This window comes from Homo sapiens, chromosome 3, assembly GCF_000001405.40.
Source record: "Homo sapiens chromosome 3, GRCh38.p14 Primary Assembly".
Taxonomy (NCBI): Eukaryota; Metazoa; Chordata; class Mammalia; order Primates; family Hominidae; genus Homo; species Homo sapiens.
In genome coordinates, this window is record NC_000003.12 from 27,890,148 (window position 1) to 27,900,632 (window position 10,485).

The window sequence follows — 10,485 nt, forward strand, 5'->3', positions numbered from 1 at the left end:
GTGAGTGTGTAAATTATTTGGCAGATAAATTCCAAATCAGAGTGGTAGCCCTCTCTGACTGGCTCTACTAATTTAAAATAGAATCATTTAAAGAAATTATTAGATATTCACCAAAATTTTACAGTGAACATTTAATTTATAAACTATATTTATCTGTCTAGACATATACTTCTGAGAGGTACTGAAAATGGGCTTGTCTTAAGTTGAATATGTGTATGTCTGTATGGTGAAAGTTGACAAAAGCAAGACCTTCAGAGGAGAGGACATATCCCAACTCTCCCATTCCCTTCGCCAACTTCTCTCTCTCTTTCTCTCTCTTGCTCTCTCTTTCCTCCTTCCCCTCTCCCTCTCGCTCTCTCTGAGATATTTCAAAATGAGACAAGACAGGAAAACTTTTCTTAAGAGGCACTAGAATTAGGCTTATATTCTCAAATTTACTGGTTATCCATTTTGTCTACATGTTGGAGCCACCTGGACAGCTTTAAAAATAACCATGTTTGGGTCCTGCCCCCAGAGATTTCTGATGTAATTGGTCTGTAGCAAAGCTTGGAGTTGGGGATTTTTGAAAGATCTGGTGATGCTAATAGGCAATAGTGTTGGAGAATCACCAGCCTAACCACAAAGAAGCTGAAGCCTTGTGACTAAATTGCTTTAAAAAGTATGTAATAAAATTATACATGGTCAAAAGTACATCCGTCTAGCCAAAACTATAAGTAGAAATAGCCATTACTTTTGAGTATGACTTTAGATAGCTATAGATGTTCTGGATATACTCACAGCATGCCTTAACACAGTATTTAATTAATATTTGCTGAATATGTAGTGATTGAGTGGTGGATAAATAAACGAATGAAAAATAAATGTGTAAAGTTGAGCAACTATACTAGGAAAGGTGCATTCTTTTCAGTTTTTTTTAATTGTTTGTTTATTTCTTTCTTTGCATATAGGCAAAATTAGAAAAATCCTGGATTTGAAGTCAAGAGACTTATATTTGAATATCCACTCTGGAAAAGTCAGATAAGTTCTCTTCTCTCTGACATTCAGTTTTTTATTTGTTAAAAGAGGGAAACAATTCTAGGGCTTTCATGATAACAAACAAGATTATTGTCTGAAAAAAAAAACTTTGTAAATAGTAAAGTGATGTAGAAATGCAGGGGAATATTTTTATTTTTATGATACAATCAAGAAAAACCCAGTAAGTATAACTTTGACTAGTGGTTCTTAGACTTTAGAATGGATTAGAATCCCCTGGAAAGCTGGTAAACATGCAGATTCCTGTCCTCTCCTCCAAAGATCTTGAGCCAATACTTGAGATGTGGGCTAAAGTCCATAAACCCAAAGGTGATGCTGATGCTGCTGATCCACAGACTGTACTCTATGTAGCACTGACTTAGACAAAGTTATGGGGTGATGTTTAACCAATAAAAATATGTTTTTCCGCCTTTTTCTTTCTCCTAAGGCATCTCAACTCCTCCTTTAATTTCCCTTACCCTAACCTCAGAACCTGCTTTCTAGAAACAAAACAAAACAATATCATTCACTAATATTTGTGAGGAAATTGATATCTGTGTACTATTTCATCTTAGAATATTAACATTTTAAGACAAAGTATGGAATAGAAACTTGCTCATTTCCTTAAAAAAGTAACAGGTTTTAACCAGTAAGAAGAAATGTTATTTTATCATGGAGGGTGGTGGGAGAGAAGGTAAAACGTTAGGCTAATGTTTGAGAACAGAACAAAGATGGAAAGGGATGGGGGTGGAGTAAGATGTCTACAGGGAGGTGGAGTTATTACTTCAAAGTTTTGACTAGTGTAAGCCCTGAACTAACATAGTAATTCTGGCTTTCACTTGAGTACTCTTTTTGTATTTCTCTGAAGTGAAAGTAAATGAGAGAGTTTGGAGGCAAAATGTATATGATGGAACCCAAGTTTCAGCATAATGTTATATTATAACATCCTCCTCCTCCTCCTCCTCCTCTTTCTCCTCCTCCTCCTCCTCCTCTTTCTCTTCCTCCTCCTCCTCCTCCTCCTTCTTATTCTTCTTTGCTCCAGGCAATTAAGAAAATCTGTATTAAACCACTAGTTGAAATTTCTGTCAGACAACAAAGCTAAAGGAACAGAGCCTTCAGAGACTACTTATAACAAAGAATACAGTTGTTACAAAAATAGTTTAGAAAGGCCACTAAACAAACAACTGCAACCCATAGGAAGCAATAACCAAAAACCCCAGGGAGGGAGATATTTAATTTTCAGAGTTTTCATGATACTCAAAATTGCCAGTTTTCAAAAAAAAGTTGAGACATGTAAAGAAACAATAAACTATGACCCACTCAAAGGTAAAAAAGTAAATTTATAGAAATGCTAATGAGAAAGCATAGATATTAGACTTAATAGTCAAATACTTTAAACCAACTTCCTTTAGTATGATAAAAAAGCTAAAGGAAACCAAAGTAAAAGAACTAAAGCAAACCAAGACAATAAAGTCTCACCAAATAGAGAATGTCAACAAAGAGGATGGAAAATATAAAGAGGACCCAAATAGAAATTTTAAAACTAAAAAGTACAAGAAATAAAATGAAAAATTTATTAGAGGGATTCAACAACAGACTTTTTAGCAGAAAGAAAGAATACCTACATTTGAAGATTAGTAAAATGAAATTATCCAGTCTGCATAGCAAAAAGAAAAAACAATAAAACAACAGTGACAAACAACAATTTAAAAATAAGCAGAGCCTAAGGAACCTGTGAGACAACTTCAAGTGTACCAACAGATGTGTAATAGGAATCCCAGAGAAAGAAGAGGGGTTGAAGGGGTTGAAAGAATATTTGAAGAAGTTATGCTCAAAAACTTCCCAAATTTGATAAAATACATGAATCTATACATCCAGGAAGCTAAACAGATGCCAAGCAGAATAATTACAAACAGAACTGCAATGAGACACATAACAATAAAATTGCTGAAATATAAAGAGGGAGTCTTGAAAGCAGCAAGAGAGAAGTGATTCATTATGTACAAGTGATCCTCAATCAAATTAAAATTCGTCATCCAAAACCATGAAGCCAAAGCAGCAGTGGGATGAACGTATTTAAAGTACTCAAAGAAAAAAAAATTGCCAACCAAGAATTTTATATTTGTCAAAATTATTGTTCAAAAATGAAGAAGAAATTAAGGCACTCCCAGGTAAAGTTGAGGGAGTTATTTGCTAGTAGACATGTCCTACACAGGAAGTGCTAAAGGGAATCCTTCAGGATAAAATGAAAGAACACCAGCCAGTACCTTAAAGCCATATGAAGAAATAAAGAACAATGGTAAAGGTAACTACATAGGTAGATATAAAAGCCAGTATTACAGTATTTTTAGTTTGTAAAAATACTATATGACTCTTTTTTAACTATATTGCTTAAAAGACAAATGCATAAAACAATAATTTTAGATTTATGTTAATGGGCATACATCAGTACAGATATAATTTGTGACAATAATGATATAAATGGAGACCAATGGGAAAGTATAGAAATATAATTTATAGATGATTGACACATAGTTTGTATTAGTTCAAACTAGATTGTTAAAAGTACAATATATTGATTTTAATTTCCAAGTAATTACTAATGTAATAACTAAAAAATATGGAAAAGGAGATGAGAAGGGAATCAAAATGGTACACTAGAAAAAAATCAGTTAAACACAAAATAAGATACTAATGGAGGAATTGAGGAAGAAAAAAGATATAAGACATATAGAAAACAAATAGCAAAGTGGCAGAAGTCCCTTCTTGTCAATAATTACTTTGAATGTAAGAAGATTCAGCTCTCCAATTAAGTACCAGAGTCAGCAGAGTGGATTTTTAAAATCATGCATCTATTTGCTGTCTAAAAGAGATTCACTTTGGCTTTGAAGACACAAAGAAGTTGAAAGTAAAAAGATGGAAAATATATTTATTGCACACAGCAACCAAAAGAGAGCTAGGGTGGGCTAAACTAGTATCAGATAAAATAGAGTTTAAAGCAAAAGTTGTCACAACAGACAAAGAAGGACATGATATATTGATGACAGAGTCAATCAAGAAAACATAATAATTATAAATATATATGCACCCACTGAGAGAAACTCAAAACATATGAAGCAGAAATTAACAAAAATGGAGGAAGAAATAAAGAGTTGTATAACAATAGTTGCAGATGTCAATACCCCACTTTCAATAAAGGATAGAACAACTAGACAAAAGATCAATAATGAAATAGAGTACTTGAACGATACTGTAAACGAATTAGATCTAACCATCATATACAGAACACCCTACCAAACAACAGCAAAATATACATTCTTCTCAAGTGTATATGGAACATTTTCCAGAATAGACCATATCCAGGATAGCGACAAAGCAAGTCTTAGTAAATGTTAAAAGATTGAAATTATTAAAGTACTTTCTCTGATCACAATGAAATGATGCTAGAAATCAACAGTAGAAGAAAACTGAAAAGTTCACAAATCTGTGGAAATTAAGCAACACACTGTTAAACAACTAATGGCTCAAAGAAGAAATCACAAGAGAAGTTAGAAAAATTTTGAGGTAAATGAAAATACGAGCACAACATATCAACACTTATAAGATGCGGCTAAAGCAGTGCTCAGAGGGAAATGTATAAGTGTAAATATCTACATTAAAAAAGAAGAATAATTCCAAATCAATTCCCTAACTTTATACTTTTAGGAACTAGAAAAAGAAAAGCAAACTAAACCTAGAGCTAGGAAAAAGAATAACATATTAAATATAAGAGTGAAAATAAATAAAACAGTACAAAATAATAAAAAAATTAAACCAGAAGTTGATTTTTTAGAAACGATTAACAAGATTGACAAAACTTTAGCTAAAATTTAAGTAAGAAAAGAAGAGAGAAGACTCAAATTGCTAAAATCAGAAATGAAAATGGGGACATTACTACCAACCTTACAGAAATAAAAATGATTAAAACAGAATAATATGTACCGTTGTACAACAACAAATTAGATAACCTAGATGAGACAGACATTCTTAGAAACACGCAAACCACCAAAACTGAAGAAATAGGGAATGTAATAGACCTATACAAGTGAAGGGATTGAATCAGTACATTGCTGGTGGGAATGTAAAATGATCCAGCCTCTGTGGAAAACAGTTTGGTGGTTCTTCAACAAGGTAAACATAGAATTACAATATGACCCAGAAATTACACTCTTAGGTATATAGACCAAAGAATTGAAAAGAATTGTTTAAATAAAAACTTGTACCCAAATGTGTATAGTGTCACTATTCACAGTAGTCAAAAGGTGGTGTGTTAGTTCATTTTCAGGCTGCTGATAAAGACATACCCGAGACTGGGAAGGAAAAGATGTTTAATTGGACTTACAGTTCCACATGGCTGGGGAGACCTCGGAATCATGTCGTGAGGTGAAAGGCACTTTTTACATGTCAGCAGCAAGAGAAAATGAGGAAGAAGCAAAAGCGGAAACCCCTGTTAAACCCATCAGCTCTTGTGAGACTTATTCAGTATCATGATAATAGCATGGGAATGACTGGCCCCCATGATTCAATTACCTCCCCCTGGGTCCCTCCCACAACACGTGGGAATTCTGGGAGATAAAATTCGAGTTGAGATTTGGGTGGGGACACAGCCAAACCCTATCAGGTGGAAACAAGGCAAATGTCCACCAACAGATGAAGAGATGAACAAAATGGGTTATAGCTACACAATTAACTATCATTGAGCCATAAAAAGAAATGAAATAATGATTCATGCTACAATGTGAATGAACCTTGAAAACATTATGGAAGCTAGACACAAAAGGTCATATATTGTATGATTCTATTTATATGAAATATCTGGAATAGGTAAATTTATAGAGACAGAAAGCATAATTGTGGTTGACAGAGTCTGAGAGGAGGGGAGAATGAGGAATGGCTACTTAATGAGTATGGCATTTCTATGGGAGTGATAAAAAAGTTCTGGAACTGGATAGTTGTGATGGTTGTAAAATATTGTGAATATACTTAATGCTATTGAAGTGTACACTTTAAAATGGTTAAAATTGTAATTCTATATTGTCTGTATTTTGCCACCAAAAAAGGGAAACATGAAAAGGCATGTTGAGAGAAGTGCTTTAGTCCTATACCTGTATCTACTACTGGATCCCCTACTCCACCCTGACTTTTGGAGGTAACCATTTAGGAGTTTATTGGTTTTTTTTCCTGATATATATTTATGAAATATAACAAATACAGATATATATTCCTCTATTTTCCTCTATATAGCTCTCTATTTTTCCCCTAAAATCTACCGTGCTATGTATACTAATCAGTGCTTCATTTTTCCAATTAGCTATATATTCTGGAGATACTCCCACATCAACATAGAGAGAAGGTTCTTCTCTTTTAGAACTGCAAATCCTCTACTGTGAAAACATCCATTCCTCTGGAGACTCACTGAGTATTGTTCAGCCTCTTGAAAACAATTATTACCCTTTTGAAAAGTTTAAGACCTTTCTTCCTTTATTTCCAATCTCAGTGACCAGTTCTGCCTTCCATTAAAAGCTTGAAATATCCAAATGATCCCAAAAGCAAACTCCTTACTAGGATTCAAATACAAGATAATGAACTTCCTTGTGATCTTGTCTATACATCTACCACGGTCTTCACACTGCTCACTGCAGGAATATTTGGGGTTGGTGATAACAATTGAGAGCTCAAACCATGTGAGATTCTGCAATGTATAAACCCTAACCATTGCCATTTTAGCATTTTCTCCATATCTGAAGATAAGTGGGGAAAAAAAAAAAAAGAAATAGATCATTTGCTCCTGCATGCTTCAGAATTTCCTATTGGCACCTCCCAACCCAAACTTTGATTCTGATTCTTGAAAGTATTACAGTAAGATGGGTCAACTTTCAGAGGACTGTAAGGGTTTCAAATAGCTTCTCTCTTGCATCAAAGGAAATCAGCACTCTCACAGGTGCTTCAGTAATCTCAATCAGAAAAGAAAGTGATTAGTAACTTGCTGAAATAAACCTAATCGGGCTCTGGATTTCAGCAACCATGAAAGATTATTTTCTTCACACATATGTTTAACATAATGAGTGAAGAGATGAAAAGAAAATGAGTTTGCATGAAGTACTATGGTTTGTCTTGATTACAATTCAGCAAAGATTCCTTGCTGTAGATTCTTTCCAACTACAAGTTAAATTTCTAGTAACTTGGCATGGCTGCCTCTTGGGTGAAAACAAAGGCAGTTCTCATGTTGGCATGAAAGAGCCCATCCCTCAGCTGCCTGTCTCAATCCTAGTAGTCCTTCAAGAGCAGGACAGACTGTATGTTCTCATAGCCCTTCTGGTGATGCCATCTCACAATGACTTTCTTCTTCACTCTGCATCACTGACACTCAGGGGCATCCACAGTGTCTCGAACATAGTAGGCACTCATTAAATATGTATTGACTATTGAATGAAGGTTATTACATTCTGCATTTTAATTCTATGTAGTCTCTTGTACAATCAGTGTTCCCCAGAGAAACAGAACCAGTAGGAGACAAATATGTACATATACATATAAATGTATGCATACATACATATATATTTGTTTTATTTAGAGATTTAAGGAACTGGCTTACATGATTGTTGTGTGTCTATCAAGTTCAAACTCTGTAGGACAGTTCAACAGACTTGAAACTCAGGAGTTGATTCTGTGGTATTTAAGCAATTTCTTCTCCAAGAAACCTTAGTTTTTGCTCTTAAGACCTTCAACTGATTGGATGAAGTTTACCTGCATTATTAAAGATTAATCTCCTTTAAAGTCAACTGATTATAGACATTAACCACACCTACGAAAATACCATCACATCAACACCTAGGCTAGCATTTGATTAAATGCTTGTGTATTATAGCCTAGCCAAACTGATAAATAAAATCTAACATTGGCCGGACGCAGTGGCTCACGTCTGTAATCCCAGAACTTTGGGAGGCCGAGGCGGGCAGATCACCTGAGGTCAGGAGTTCAAGACCAGCCTGACCAACATGGAGAAACCCCGTCTGTACTAAAAATACAAAAAAAGTTAGCTAAGCGTGGTGGTGCATGCCTGTAATCCCAGCTACTTGGGAGACTGAGGCAAGAGAATCGCTTGAACCTGGGAGGTGGAGGTTGCAGTGAGCCGAAAACGTGCCACGGCACTCCGGCCTGGATGACAGAGTGAGATTCTGTCTTAAAAAAAAAAAAGTCTAACATCACACTTCCTCATCTGATTTATACCTCAAAGGCTGAAATGCAGTTATGTTGAGAGCTTAGGATATGCTTCTATTGCATTCCACCTACCTCAATTATTTCTGACCCAGGTTCCTTATTTGTTCTGAAGATACCTCTTGTATTTTAAAGCCCCAGTCTGCTTTTATTCTTGATGCAGGCTGGTTTTCTTTTTCTGGGCTATCCAGCAATATGCCTCACCTGGTCTGCAGCTCCAGTGCTCAACTTGTAGCTGGTTACTTGAATGGTATAAGATTTTGTAGCTACCTTCTATGCCATGGTTATTATGTACAGTTGTGAATGGTAACCCTAGAGTGATGCAGTGTAAATAGAGAACCCACTTGCGACCATCATTCATCTATTCATTATTATCCCATCATCATTACTTACCCCTTCAGCCATCTCTGGGAAATCTATATTCAAAACTCCTTTCATTTAAGGAGACCAAAGTGAGGTGAGATCACCTAAAGTTGCAAATACCTGAGATCAAGTTTAAAGTAAATGACCCTCAGTCATGAACTCCTTAGTGAGAGTAGGGATGGTGGCTTTTCTCTGAAGGCAGATCTTGGTAAGACTTAGATGGCCGATGTCATTCATGACAGGGTTTCAGAGTACTCATCAGAAGACAAAAATTTATGAAAATGCACTTCACAAATTTCTCTACAGTTATCCTGATCCTACTCTGCTCTTAGCACTTAGGATAAATTTTGATCATATCTCTCTAACAGGGTTACTTGAAATCCAAATCTCTCTTTAAGCTCACAGTCTCCTTCTCTTTCTACAGCTGACTTTGGCCTCAATTATGCATTCAGCAAATACTTGTGTGTTGCCTGCTATGCATCAGGCACTGGTCTAGACACTGGTCATTTTCCTGTTGGTTCTTACAGTCTAGTCTCCCATTCAAGATGACAGGCCCTGCCCCTCTTCTAGTACCTTTGAAATTCCAAAGACATTTATTATCTCAGGGCTAAGACAGAAATAAATCTGGTTCATTCAATAAGATTTAGGTCACGGGATGATAGAACATTGTCAAGTGGTGCACACTGAAGGCGTTATACAATAGACACTATCCCTAGTGCATGCAATGAGTATGGTTGCCTTAAGGAGAAATTAAAGGGCTAGTAATAGGACAATGCTATTAATAGAGGTAAATAAAGAAAAAAGAGATGTCTCTAAAAGAATTCTGTAAACTTTATGCTTCCTTTTAACAACAAGTTCATTAGGTGAAAATTAACTTTGGCTGTAAGTTTACGTATGTGTTCTTTTGCCTAGGAGTCTAGAAGTCCACAACTCCTAACCCAACGGAGCCCAGGAAACTGATCTTTTTTAGACTGATGGGTTGTTTTCTGACATGAGCAAGGTTGAACTATCTCTTCATCCAGAAATCTATATCCCACCAACACAGTTTTAAGGACTCTTACAAAATTACATGGATTGCACCAAGATTAAAAAAAAGCAGAAGAAAAAAACCAAGAGAAAGAAAAGTGAAAGAATGTCTTTGTGAGCCTAGCTTCCTATTTTCCTTAAACTTATTTGCAACAATGTTGTTTCTCATGCTTGCCACTTACATAATTTTATTTTCTAATATCCATATTTTATTCAGATTTTACATCTTAGAAACAGAAAATCCTTTTGTAAAAGATGACATCTTAGAAAAATGAAATGTAGTAAACTAGTACCCTAGAACTAAAGTCATATCTCATTTGCTAATCATCTATTTCATATGAGTTTTAATTATATTTTCAATTGCTTCCCATGCCTATATTTTGTTTTTCAATTAAAATGGTAAATCCTTCAAGGTAGACAGTCCCCAGTGGGTCCTAGTCACTTTACAGACACTGTTTTATTCTGAATTCTTTTAATTACACTGTGTGATATATTACTCCCATTTACTAACAAGGAAATTGAGGCTCAGGGAGGTGAAGTCACTAACCTAAGATCTTATAGCCAACTTAATAGCAGAATCAGAATCTCACTGATGAGCGCAGGGTTGTGGCAGTACCTCTCTGCAAGGATGTAAGGGTGGGAGTCTGTGTGGTTTTGACAAGGGTGGGCAAGAATTCACCCTGGAAATCTTGACTAAAATGTTTTTGTGGGTCTCGGGCACAGTTAGGTTCACACCTAGGAAACTCTCTGAGGGTAAAGCCACAGCTTGGTTAAATTGGGTGACTCACAAGTGTGAAGGTTCATATTTTAGCACTTGGTAATCAAAGG